Source organism: Homo sapiens, chromosome 21 (assembly GCF_000001405.40).
Source record: "Homo sapiens chromosome 21, GRCh38.p14 Primary Assembly".
NCBI classification, from domain to species: Eukaryota; Metazoa; Chordata; class Mammalia; order Primates; family Hominidae; genus Homo; species Homo sapiens.
The window spans coordinates 14517957-14532763 of NC_000021.9; the positions used below are offsets into that span (position 1 = coordinate 14517957).

Sequence of the window (14807 nt, forward strand, 5' to 3'; positions counted from 1 at the left end):
AACATCACTTGGGAGCAGTTTGTGCTTTAGCAAGCTCTTCAAGTGATTCTGATACTCGCTAAAGTTTGAAAACAACTGTAATAAAGTATTGCCATGCTAGCCCCCTTGCAGTTTCTCTATCAGGTTCTCACCAAGTTTGTATTTGCTTTTGCCATTGGCTTCCGCCAGATATCCAAGAATTTCTTCCTTCAGTCGTCCAGGTTTCTATTCACATGTCATATAATAGGAGAGTAATTTTCTGATTGATCACCCTCCACACTTCCATACATCCTGTTTATTGGCCCTGATTAATTATTCCTCTAAGCAGTTAACATTACCCGATAATATGTTTGTTCATTTGATTATTGTCTGCGTCTCCCACTATGATGCATGCTCCATGAGACTTGAGACTTTGTCTGTTTTCTTTGAGTGTCTAGAGTACTTCCAAGCACAGAGCTGGCACTTGATATTATTTGAATAAATGAAACTTCTCATGTAGAACGTTGCAGATTTTTTTTTCTTGGAGGACATGTTTGGGTTACACGTCCTAAAATACCTTATATTTGCAAGAAAGGAAACTTGAAGGACATCTAGTTTAACACTGCCCACCATTACTGGTAGGTGGACAGGTAGTCATTCACTGAATATAAAAAATGATGGGAAACTTCTCTTTAGTGAACTTGAATATTTTAATATAAAAGTTTAACCACATAGTTAACATCATTATTAATCAATATTATATTTTGCTTCATATCTTACCCCAAATTGCCTATGATAAATATGAATGGACAGCCAATTTAAACCCTCATTGCACTTTATTAATTTCTACATTCAAGGTTGAAATCAAGGCAAAGATTCTTTGCTTAATTCAAAAGTCCTGAATAAAATTTAATTCGGAAGCACTTTAAAATTTTAGAGTTAGCCTTTTTCTTCTCTCTACTTAAACTTTCTCTGTCTTCATTATAAAATTACTTTGCTAACATAAATAAGAAATGTTAATTACTACTTGTGTTACTCTACCATTTCTAAGCTTCAGAAAAATGTACCACACATATTTTTCAGGTTTTTCTAGCGTTATTTACAGAAGCTACAAAGAAATTATGTTTATGTCTTTTGAGTGTTAACATTTTTCTATGCCTTTCTCCATAGCCTGAATTAAATTTCTATTTAAATATTACTTATGGTTTTGTTCTTGTCTTTTTAAGATTTGTCTTCCCCTATAGACTCCAGGCATGAAGTAAGGATTTTCATGTGTTGTTGCAACAGTACTTCCTGAGTGTCTAAGGGAAAACCTGTCATAGAGTAGTTATTTTTTGAATGAGTGCTGGATTGTTGAAAAATATGCACACTATTTTATTAGGTTTGCTAAATTCTTTTACAAATTACTAGGCCACCATTATTAACCAATGAACCTGAATGAACATGAGCTATCTTGTACAGGTTAATTCCAGAATTATAAACTAAATAGCAGTAGAATATATGTATGATTGTGGAGAATTAAAAATTTATACAAAATGCCAACTGAAAATAAAATTATATACAGTTTCTCTCTCTCTCCATATATATACACACACACACACAAACACATATATGTGGCCAGGGGGAGATTTATATGTATATATTACATTTATTACTTACAATTATGTAAATGTTGATTGACTATACAATTATGTACAAGTTTACTCATAAATGTGAATATATACATAATAAATTAATAAAAGGGATCATTACTGAAATTAAATTATTTTAAAATATTACAGATAGTTATATTTGAAAATAAGCATAGGATCTAAAAACCTATTGATCTAAAAACCTATTGATCTAAAAAGAATATATTACCTGTAAGGTTGCTGAATCAGGTTCAATGGTAAACAGTATTTTCAGTTTTCTTAGTAGACACCCCTTCTCTGTACTATTTTATTAGTTGTTGTTGTACCTGTCATTAACCACTTAGCATATGTGGCCCCTACTTTATGAGATAATATGGCAAACTTTGGAGTCAGAGAAAAGGTTGATTTCTGCCTTTGTCATTTACTCACTCTGTAATTTAGAAGTAATTTTATTTGATGAAGCAAGCATATTTCTGCAATGGCAAAATAGATATACTAATAGTTCCTATGTTATAAATAGGTAAATTGTTATAGATAGATAAAGTTAGCATTGTGCTTATTTCATCGTGAGTGCTCAACTAAATGAACATATTATTGAAATTATTACGTAAACTTTATTTTATGGGAAGCTTTTCTTAAGCTACGGTTAAAATGTTCATAGTGTACAAATGTGTATGTAGCACTCACCAATGGGATGTTTCAGTGTACATTGAAGTGTGAGAGTCCAATTGAGCAGCTGTATGCTCTCCTTAACAAATTTACAGTTGGGCCACTTAATCTTGTTCTAATTTAAAGCAATTACAACTTACATAACATTTTATATATATCTATCAAATAATGTGTATAAATACAATGTATGTGTATGTGTACATATATGTATACTCACATTGTTTTATAGTAGAAATACTCAGGAAATTTGGAATTGTCAGTGTCAGTTTGAATTCTATCTTTTCGGGTTCATGTTTTGCTTTCCCAAACATCTGTTAGGCTTCTTAAAATAAGATTTTACTTTTAATGCCCTGCACGGTACTGGGTACTGATAGAGACAGGAAACAGCCAACGGTCCCTTGCGAAACCTCCCCTTCGAGCCTAAAACAGCTTGAAGGCTGAAAAACCAGACTGATGATCCTGGATGAAGCCCACCCTTTCCCAACTGATTCTCTCTTAATAATGCCCACCTGTGCACTGGGGGAAGGGGACGGAGCTATGGGAAGGTCGTGTGGTTTGCTGCAGGGAGGAGCCTGGCCTCTTTTGTTGTTATGTGGTAGCCTGGGATTCAATCTGTAAGGTAGGAGCCTGCTAGCAGGACTCTTGCTTTGTTGAGAGTTCCTCTTTTTTTTTTTCCTTTTCACCCGATATACCCTGCCCTACTCACCCTACAATGTGTCTGTGTGCCTAAATTTTCCTGGTCGTGTGACAAGAACCCATTGCTTTCCACAACAGTACTAAATAATGGTTTGTTCATTTATCACAAAAACATATGCAAGGCTATAATTTTAAAATGTATTCATTTTTCTTATTTTACTTTGCAAAAGTGACATTGTCTTCATAATATTTCATAATGTGTTTGCATAACATTCATAAAAATGGAATAAACTACGAACCTCAGTTGAATCATCTGGTTTTGATAAAGAATTATTCCGAAAACGATCGAAATTCCCAAAACTGCTGCTTCGCTATAAAATAGAAAAGAAAAAGCAAAGGAAACTTAGAATTTATTTTCACTGTCCAAACTGATAAGTATATTAGATTATAGTTTAATAAGCACCGTCTCTTGCAAATACAGGCTTTAAAAAGCTCTTCTCTCTGGAATATCCAAAGGCTGTGAAGGTATACCTATTAACATTTTTATATTTACAGTTGATCAAATGTCTTTCTACGCTTTTTGTCATAGCGTTAAGTAAGCACCTTGGAGAAAATCTTGGTTAAATTATTTTAAATTTTTTATTTTAATTTTGCTCTTTGAAGTGGCAGCTGAAGAATCCTTGAATTCCAAACTAAAGCTTCTTGAAATGAGCTAACCACAAACTTAACAGCATGTAGTACTAACCAACCAACCAACAAACAAATAACAACAACAAAACACAAACAAAAAGCAAGCATCTGAGTAGATCCACCATTACGCCTCACAAAGATCAAGTTTGTTCACACGCTGGGGCCTGTGGGGTGGAGGGCAGGGAGACGGAGAGCATCAGGAAAAATAGCTAATGCATGATGGGCTTAATACCTAGGTGATGGGTTGACAGGTGCAGCAAAACACCATGGCACATGTTTACTTATGTAACAAACCTGTACATCCTGTACATGTACCCCGAAAATTAAAATAAAAATGAAAATAAAAGACCAAGTTTGTTTAAAAAAAAAAAAAGAACATAAGTGCATTTTCTATTACCAACTCTTGATCATTTGAAGTTCTCTGCTGGGTATCAGAAAAAGAAGGCACACACACAGACTTACTAATAAATTGAAAGCAGCATTTAGGTATGCACAGTCCAAGGTTGGGAGTAAAATGGAATTTTTCCACATTTAACATAGAATTACAATGAGATCTCTGGGTCAGTTTCATTCACTGGTTTTGAGAAAAAGCTCAGTATGTTAATAGAAGATGTTGTCTTGAATACCTTTTGCTTACAAAGCTACATTTTTATTATGCAACTCAATGTAGGCAGGCAATTATAAATAATTTCTGATATGCAACAAAATAAATGAATCCCTTAAACATATTTTAAAATTCTTTTGAGTCATTGAGTCAAAAAATTGATATTTCCTCACTATCTAATTTTATGCATTGTTTGGGATGGTGGATATCTGATGTTGGGTTCTTTGTGTACTCATAAATCCCGAGACTATTTTCTTTCTAAAGGACTTTATCTTATTTCAAGTTTATCATATTTTAAAAACAAACTGGTGGTACTGACATATAATCTGGTAATTTAGAAAATTAATAATGGGAGTCAGTAATCTATAAAACTTTGTACAACAAGGCCTCCCTTAATGCTCTCAATGGGATCTCGGAAATTGCTACCTTAAGCAAAACCAGGTGTAACAAAATCCACTTTACCATAGGCTACTTGAAATCACAAGTTCAAATAACAAGTTCCTGTGATCTACTTTTCATCACAAAAACATCATCAAATTTCTAAATAAAGACCCAAACACTTCTAATGGTAAACACTGAAACAAATGCGATCCATACATATATTTAAGAAAAATTAATTTAAAAAATTAACATAATTATTTTCCCAGTTATTCCAGCTCAGGGTTGCTGTGAGTGGCCAGAGCCTATCCCCACAACTCAGGGCACAAGGCAGGAACCAGCCCTGGACAGGGTGCTGCTCCAACGCAGGGCACACTGAAGCACACATCCACACTCCTCATTGTGGAACAATTTGGACACGCCAATGCCAATTGACCTGGAATGCACTTCTTTGGGATGTGGGGGGAAACCCACACATAAATGAGAAGATTGTGCAAACCCTGCACAGACAGTGACCCTGGTCAGGAACTGATTTTTTTTTCTCCATCAATATTATTATAACAAAATGATGTTGGAGAAAACTGTTTTTGGAGGACCTGCTATATTGTCCTTTCAGAAATCACAGCCCATTTTAGTACAAGGCAACTTCAAGGGCTCCTAGTCCCTAGAAGCTCTTATGTCTCCCTACCAGCTATCTTTAAAGATTTTTGTTTCCCTTTTAAAAGAACTGAAATAAAAAGATCCTGACCTCTGGCAAGGGGTTAGCTTGATAGACAGTGTGATACAGAATATTGCCCCAAGGATGATAGCTGTGTTAGACACAATTAACGCCTTTTGCTGACTTGCCACCCCGGCTGGACGAGCCCTTCAGCCTGTGGTGAGAGGAGCAGAAACGAAAGCTGAAACTGAGAACCACACTGGAAAATACAAACTCTTCTTATGTAGTACTTACTAGCCTACAGTGGCTTCCCAGAATATGAATCACTCCAACTTGCCTAGGAGGTGTTTCCATCTGGCTGTCATTGCTCAGCAATCACAGAAGGGAATTGAGCGTATTGTTGTCCTGCTTATAAACAATCTGAACACACAGAAATCTATTACTCTTTTATATACTTGAAACCATTCTATGGCTGATTGGAGCCCATGCCCAAGGCAATTTTGTAGCCTATATATAGCCTGTTAAATATTAATGAGAGTAAGGGTGCGATTTCCACAATGGGATAATGGGTCCTGTTGCACAGGAGGGCACAGAATAGACTCGTTTCAGCATTTTGCTACACTATCTTCTTCCATTAAGTAATCAATAGCCACCACCTTTTAAAATTAATTCTCCCCTCATTATATCAATAAAGAAAAGCAGATTTAGGAGTCGTGGTTTAAGAAGGACACTGGACTATTACTTTGGGTTTTGTCAGTCATCTCATCACTAATTACTCAATAGCTTTATGCCATAGGAGTATATCAATCCATGTTAAGACACCCTTAAGAAGAAAATCTAAATATTTAAAAGAACATTTATATTTGTTCATTATTCTCTAGTTTAAAAGTTAGTAACTAACTTTCTCAGATGGTTTTATGATGTATAGATTATGGCTTATGACAAAAAAGGACTAATGTCTACTATGAGGTCTGGACAATGAACACATTTATGACTTCTGTTCTTGTAAAGTTTTATGATAACAAGGTGAATTATATGGAAACAAAGCTTGCTTCCTAAATAATAGTACTTAATAAATGAGAATGTGTTTGAATATTGATAATGTTGTTTATATAATTGTAATGTATTAGACTTAGTAAATATTATCTTATGACAGAAGTTCTTATCAAGACAGAGTTATTATATAAATAAGCAGTGTCAAAAAGAAGATGAGCTTAAATAAAAATGCTATATATATTTTAGATAATTCTTTGTGTCTGTTGACTTTAGATCATATTTAGTCTTTATACTCTACACGAATGTTTCCAGTCTTTCCTTATGCAATTAGAAATGCATTTGTAAAATGGCACAATACCTATAAAGGGAAATTTGGCAATATCTAGCAAAATTACATATACATTTGCCCTTTGTCCCAAGAATTCCATTTCTAGATGTCTTTATCAGCAATACATTTGTATATGAATTGTTTACATTTCCATATTCACTGTAGCACTTTTATATTATCAAAAAGCTGTAAAGCCTAATGTTCATCAAGAGGATACTGATTGAATAATATATGGTACATCCACACAATGCAAATGTATGAAGCTGTAAAAAATTAAATACATCTTTTTATATGCAACAGAATAACCTCTAGCATACAGTGTAAGGAGAAAAAGTAAAATGGAGAAAAGTGCAATATATTGAAATACATCTAATGTCAAAATTCATGAGTTCATAAGGATACTAAAAAGAAAAATGCATCAGTTACATTGGGAAATGTTATAATTATATTCTGAAAACTAACAAATAAAGGGACAACTTAGACATTTAATCTGCCTTTCCTGTATGAAACCTATTTCATCAACTAAATAGTTCATCAACTAAATAGTTGATGAGGGGAAATTGTTCTGTATATGTTCATACTTCAGCTAATCAATTAAAAATGATGAAATAATAAGATTACCATTTTGCAAACCCCTAATGCAATGTTGGATCCAGGCAATGATCATCAATGGCCACTAAAATCACACAAAAGGAGATAACCAGAATATGTGCTTTGTGATGGAAGCATTAAATACAACTAATGAGATATTGTTTATAAGAAAGAAAGGAAGCAAGAAAGCAATCACACCAAGCTCTGTATCTAGCTACCACATTTAAGGAAAAAAAGAGACAGAAGAGCATGTTAAATGTTACCAAGAAGATACAGTCAGTCGGAAAAAATACAGACAAGAAAATACAGAGCAAAACAACCCAGCTTCTTCAGCAAATCAATATAAAAAAATTTTAAGAAAGAGTTAAAGTATAAACTGAGAGACTTCAGAAACATATTATCCAAGTATAATCCATGAATCTTGTTTAAATATAGATCAAATAAACCACTATACCAAAAACATCAAAAGACAACTGGGTAAATTTTTTAAATGACTAGCTATTTGATGTTAAGGAAGTAATGTTACTCTCTTATATACAATTTGAAATAATCTAGCGAGGAGCAGCAAATGTGCGGCTATGAGGAAGAAACACAATTGGCCATTCTTGAATCATTAGCTGGATGGTGGCTATATGGGGGTAGATTTTACTACTCTCTAATTTTACATATATTTAAAATGTTCCATAATAAATTGTTGAGTTATCAAAAGAAATATTTCTATATAATAGCTAAAATTATTTATAAAAGTTAGTGGTCTCATAACTTTATTTATTTATTTACTTATTTTGAGACCGAGTCTCCCTCTGTTATGCAGGCTGGAGTGCAGTGGCTCCATCTCGGCTCACTGCAAACTTCACCTCCTGGATTGAAGCGATTCTCCTGCCTCAGCCCCCCCGAGTAGCTGGGATTACAGGCTTGCACCCCCACGCCCAGCTAATTTTTTTGTATTTTTAGTAGAGACAGGGTTTGACCGTGTTAGCCAGGCTGATGTTGAACTCCTGACCTCAGGCAATTCGCCCGCCTTGGCCTCCCAAAGTGCTGGGATTACAGGTGTGAGCTGCCATGCCCAGCCAGTTTCATAACTTTAATAAGGAATCAATTTGTTTAAAAACAATCATAATATGGTTTAGGTCATGGTTGTTTGGAAGTACAGAAAGGGAACAAAATAAACTTGCGTTTCCTAAATTCATTTTAATACATCTAACTTTTCTGATATAAATATGTGCCCTTGGATTGCTGTTTTCAAGACTATCTGCAATCACATCGTGCAGTTAACCTTCTTCCACACAGTCCACTTGGCTTACCCAAAAATAGTACAGAACCAGGGTCAGCTGGGGTGTTTGAACACATTTGTGTATGTGTGTTTCTATGCAATCTAATGAGTAATATAAAAGAACTTAAGGCGATTCTTTTTTTATTAGTACCTCTCCAGTTTTGCAAAACAATCTTAATTATTACAGAATACTGTTTCATGATATAAAGCTGGCAGTGTTCTTAGTTATCGTCTAGCTCTTCTCAATAAGGAAACTGTTGAAACCAGAACTTGCAAAAAATTTCTTTTTAAAAAATTCTCCACTCTGATATACTCTCCCCTATGCCATTCCATTACAGAATCTAGATCCTGTCTTCTTCCCAAGAGGCTTGCTTTCTGAGCAGAATAAAAATTACGGCAAAGTTAGTTTGATAGAAAGAATGAAACTAACTCGGTTTCCTAGAATACTGACCAGCCTGCATTTATGAACATGAATGAAAATTACAGGGTCTCTATGTAGAAATCTGAATCAAACTTGTGATCAAAACCAGAAGAACTTGACCCTCATTTTCTTTCTTAGCCAACCACTAACTTTGGGAGTCTTCAGATGAAATCTCATCTCCAGCATGACTTAATATTTGGGTAAGGTGCTGGTGGAAAAGTTTCACAGTCTATTTCAAAGAAAAGATTTGCATTTGTGAGGCACACATCTGCAGTACTTTGAAATATACTGGCAAATTAAAAATTACACACACTCTCCCAACAAGTTCTCAGCTCTTTTAAATATTGCACAAAGAACGTTGGTTAGTAATGTACTCAAAGATCAGAATTCTGTTTCAGCACATCCTTATATGAATATTCTACTATAATAAAAGCTGAATCTCAATAAGCTTGTCAGCCTTTATCCAAAGACACTCGAGGATTTAATTGTTCTAACTAACTCGGGTACTCAGATCTTTTGAAGAGGTGAAACAAATTTAACTCTCTTAAAATAATCAGTTAGAATTGCCTCAGTGTCACGTGGTACCAGTGGAATACACTTCTGTGGGGTGTCAGGAAACTGACGGCTAAAAGACAACTAGAGCTGTAAAGCCTCGTCTTCGACACTCACGTTTTATCCAGGGATAAAGGCAACCCAAAGCTCAAACATATACCAATGCTTTAAATATTTTCAACGTACATCTGGACTCTAAGAACAAAAGCTGGTCTATTCTATCTCTCTGGTTCAGTAACTTTTCTATCAACTGCAAAATAGCTTCAAGAAGTGCAGATTCTGATTCCACCACGGTTTTACAATGTTTTGTCAAAATTTCCATGCTAAAGATTTGCTTTCAGAAGTTGCTGTGACACTAGAAATGCTTTCTGCAAATTGAAACCATCTCCAAGATTACCTGAAGGAAAGAAACTAGAACTAAAAAAAAAAAAAAAAAAAAAAATGCAGAATGATCCATAACCTCTAAAAGTGGTTATTCATACCAGCTTATTTTATGCAACAAGTCTGATGAGTAAAAAAGACCCAAATGTACAACAATATCTCATTCTTATTATTTACATTGTATCCATAGACTGTAAGTCATGCTACACTTCTGGGAAATGAATAGAAATTATGATATTCTATTTTACTTGAAAGGAGTTCTTAAATAATATTTTGATATGTTTTAAATATTAAAATTAAATAATACTGTTACATGTTTTAAATATTGCTTTTTCAGGTAGAAAGCATAAGATGGCCGAAGAATTGGTATAATCAATTCTTTAAAAAACTATTAAAAAGGAAATGAAAAGCTTTAGAAAATGTGCCCATGATGACACTATCGTGAACTGCTCAATTTGTTTTCCCTATTGTGAAACTTCTGCTTGGCCTACTCACTCCTATAAAATTATGTTATTGTGCACTTTCTATTCCTTCTTTCTCTTCTTCTCTAACTAATAAGCCCATAAATAAGTACCACTAAAATAAATACTAAAATAAATAAATGGTACTTCTTGGTCCTCCTGGAATTCTTTCATTATGCCAACACTTCCTTAAAATTCTCAAGAATTTCCCCAGGGAACCCAGTTTTATGCCTGCCCCAGCCCATAAGGCACCCTCTGCCTGCCTCTGGGCTGCAAGGCAGATGTACTAAAAAAAGGCTCTGTGCTTATGTCCTGCTCCCCTGAGGATCTGTTTTGGCCCAACCTCTGAAACTTTACCAGCCCCATTGGAAAATGGTATTTGCTCATTGCTGTCTTTGGAGAGTTTGGACACTTAATGTAAAATGTAACACACCACAAATGCACATTCTCCCAGCCTGTACATATGTCCAATTATTTCTCCAAACTTTATTGAAGGTATTTTTTTCATTACTTTTACTCAAGTGTGTGCTAATTCCTGAACCAATGCAACAACTTTCAGATTATTTGTCCCCAAATTCTTGCCCCTCTAATCATCTAAAGTACCATGTCTCATCATCTCATTCTTCTTTCCAAAATGTAAAGCTTGCTCCACATTGCCATGACCGTTACCGAGAGCTTTCCATCTGCCAAACTCCATGCCATGCTATTTATCCGTAATTATTTCATTAGATAAACACAATCCCCCTCTGAGTTAGGCATTAACTTCTCCAATTCACAGATGATGAGAACTGAGGCTCAGAGTGTTTAAATAGTTTTTCCTCAGTCAACAAAATAAAGCTCATACTCAGCATTCAGTGCATGTGTGATTCTGTATGGTAATGGGTAATGCTAGTCAATCTGATTTAGCAGAATTTCTAACACTTCTTGCTGGCCACTGTGGACGAACTCATTTATATCTCTAAGCTTTTGCTCCTACTGTTTTTTATTCAAGGAATATTGGTCTTCTTTTATTCCACCTACTCAAACCCAGCCCATTCTTCGAGGGCAGGATTAAGTCTCACCTCCCTTAGGAAACCCTTTTCCGATGCCATTTAGTGAACGTTTTAGTGCATATTGATTGCTGTTATTACATGCTGTATCTCCAATGGATAAAAATCCTACAGTCGTGAGACTTGGGCAAAACCATGGCAAATGACAGATCCCACATTACTCTTCAAGTTAAATGTCAAAAATCTTACATCTCACAGTTACACAAAAATAAATTAGAACTTAATCATGTTGCAACTAATGACAATAATTTGTTGATGTTTAAAGACCATAAGGGTTTGCATCATGTAATTTAACATAAATACACTAAGTGGCTTCTATGGCTCAACTTAGTACTCAGAGTAAGGGCTGTCGGTATGAATAAATAAGAATCAACCGTGAGAGAAATGTATACTATATTAGTACCATGGACCAAATCATTCCAAACCATAAGAGCTAAATAGAATCCTGTTCAAATGAAAGATACACAAATATAGAATCAATTCCTATAAGCAGGTTATATTCATATACAAAATAAAAGAAGTTAAAATGTATAGTAGATGTCAACTTGGAAATCTGCATTCATTCATTTACAAATACTCATTTGTATTGACTACTTAGTACCTGAAAGGCATTTTATGTGTCTATGCCTATACCTACTTAATTTATAGTTTGTCTACAGAATGATACACTAAAATAATCACAGATTTTGGGAGTAAAATTAGCTGGAATCAATATAATTTGAATTCACTTAACCATTTTCAAAAATTAGTAGATTTGTATAATTGTTAAACAAGAGGCTCTTTAGAAATAATCACCAAATCTGGCCGGGCGCAGTGGCTCACGCCTGCAATCCCAGCACTTTGGGAGGCCAAGGCAGGCGGATCACGAGGTCAGGAGATCCAGACCACCCTGGCTAATACGGTGAAACCCCATCCCTACTAAAAATACAAAAAAATTAGCCGGGCGTGGTGGCGGGTGCCTGTAGTCCCAGCTACTTGGGAGGCTGAGGCAGGAGAATGGCGTGAACCTGGGAGGCGGAGCTTGCAGTGAGCCGAGATTGAGCCAATGCGCTCCAGCCTGGGCAACAGAGCGAGACTCCGTCTCAAAAAAAAAAAAAAAAAAAAGAAAGAAATAATCACCAAATCCGAAGATTGTGATTGCTAAAGTTATGATAAGTAAGAAAGGTAGTGGAACATATGCTATGTATAAGATGGATCACTGGATGATAAAAAATGTGTCTAGTATCTAATATAATTCTCTCCCAAACTTTCATAGGAGAGAAATAAATACTGTCTCTAGTAAACATAATCATTTAGGTCACTATAAAAATATTTTTTATTTGTTATAGGGATATTTCACTGGGATTTTTCATTGTCTGGATGAACTATCTCTTGAAACTAAAACTGACAAAAAGTTTTCAACTCATGCACCAGCATGGATAGTTGGTCGATGTTTCATGAAGAGCTGTGTTGAGAAGCGTTCTAAAGCCATTTTCAGAGTTAAAAAGTCATGATTAACTGTGTCCACAGTGGTTACAGAAGATAGTGGGTGTTTAGGGGAAGAAGAGAGGAACTGCATTTGCCACCTCTACTCAAATTATTTCCCTGAGCAAATTTTGCATTACTAATTTTGTTATCTAGGTACCTTGATACAGGGAGGGCAATTCAAAAGATGGATGACTGAAATTTTCAATTTACAAAAAATATACATTATTCTTCCATAAGTTTGGAAATTAACTGTCTTTTCTATGCATATTTTATTTTTCTATTTATTATAGAATATTAAATAATATTTTAACTAGTCACATCATTTTCAACTATTTTAATTCTATAACTAAACAAAAACAAATAATTCTACAAATAAATAATTCTGCCTAAATAATACTGCTGTATAGGATATGGCAAATAGACAAAAGGTAATATTGAAGATGATGGTTTAAAAAAGCAACTATTAGTTAAGAGAAGAATAACTTCGAATATTGATCTCAATAGACCTTACTACATTAACCATAAACTTAAATACCAAATTTATTCTGGTTTTTGTAATAAGTGACTGATTTTTCTATTTGTTGTACTGTTAATAAGATTTATCATATGTATTTTGTATAGTGTCATTAATCTAAAAGACAAACTATTAAAAGTATAAAAGAGAAATTATGTCTATTCAATTTTATCATCAAAGGAGTTAAAAAAGAAAACCCAAGAGTAACATTATTAGCTAAGTTAAATTGAGCAATTTCTTTCAGGATCTTAGATGTAAGCTTTTTTTTTTCTTTTCAATAATCAGAGAGAGGAAATCTCAAAAATTTTTTATTATCTAACATGATGGAAGAATGTGCAGTACTTTTAAGCCCCAAAACTTTTAAACATACGTGATAATTGAGTATGCTAACAAAACTTTAGTTTCCTGAAATATTTCCTAACAGTTTACCCATCTCATCTTTACACTAGTAAATTCCAGTCACTCCAGATTTTAAAATAAAATAAAATTATCACCAAGAGGCAAACATTTATAGTACTCATTACTTTGAAATTATGGTTAAATAAAGATGTAAAAATTAAGTTGGGAAAACAAAATCCTTTTAACCAAATTTCCTATCAAATTATCTGGAACAAAAACTCCCTTTTACTTCCATTAGTCTTAAAAGTCCTCTGCATTCACTTGGCCTCTGGGTACACAGTAACCTTTCTAAAGGTCTGCCCAAGGGATATTTTAGTCATTCTGTGATCTCCTTGAACACAAGTAATGACAAACAATAAGCTAATTCTCAAAAAGTTTTTTTTTGAGTCATTTTTACTACTTTTAAATGAGTGTGTCTGATGCATGATTTTGGGCCCCCTGATTAATGGTCACCGCCAGCCCAGCTTCTGGAGTTGTAATGTTTCCGTGAGCTTCCCTCCAGCAGAGCTCGACCATTAATCCAGTGGCATATGTCAGCTCAGCAGAGCAAGGTCACTCTTCTGTTTCAAGGGGAACCTTTTTAGAAATAATAAAACTGACAGAAAGTTCTTTTTTGCATGCTTTATGCCACCTGAGGTTGAGTGCTGCAGTTAATATCATAAAGCTTATAAACATTCCCATCCCAGGAAGCACCCACTGCTGCTGGTCTTAGGAATTTAAACACTTTTTTTCTTAGTAAGAACAGACATGTTTATGTGGGGGCAAATATATGGTATGTCATCCCAAATAGAGGAAGAATGGGTGGGAAAATAAAACAGTAAGTTCATGTTAGGAAGTTTGGAAGAGATGTTAGTGTCCTATAACTATTTTTATTGTCAATTACATTTATTTACCTTTTAGAAAACTGGGATTTGGTTAGATGAATACTTCAATCTCCTGAGGGGGTTAATAGCAGAGTTGAAATATAAGAGTAGTGGTAAAAAGAAACTCAGTTTATAATCACTCCTTGACCTATAATGTAATGTTCAATAATTGTAGAACATTTATCTTTGAAGGAACTGTATTTTTAAAGTTATAAACATTTGTTTTATTGGTAATGACTTTTTCATAATTGATAATTAAATACAGTGAGATAGTCATAATCTTAAAGT

At 34.4% G+C, this 14807-nt stretch overlaps 1 protein-coding gene and 1 long non-coding RNA gene across 10 annotated transcripts in view; one reads left to right on the top strand and one right to left on the bottom strand.

The window, feature by feature from the left end:
- Window positions 1-14807, top strand: part of LOC124905053 (uncharacterized) — a 61200-nt gene that overhangs the window by 40628 nt on the left and 5765 nt on the right. The window lies entirely within an intron of this gene.
- Window positions 1-14807, bottom strand: part of SAMSN1 (SAM domain, SH3 domain and nuclear localization signals 1) — a 174190-nt gene that overhangs the window by 32729 nt on the left and 126654 nt on the right. For 6 of the 9 annotated variants that reach the window (NM_001395858.1, NM_001395857.1, NM_001256370.2 and 3 more), the window contains one exon: window positions 3194-3265. In NM_001395858.1, the coding sequence (NP_001382787.1) occupies window positions 3194-3265 (72 nt within the window). Of the gene's footprint in view, window positions 1-3193; window positions 3266-5314; window positions 5439-7169; window positions 7225-14807 lie in introns of all 9 variants that reach the window. The other 3 variants (XM_047440942.1, XM_011529684.3, NM_001286523.2) reach the window with 2 other exon arrangements.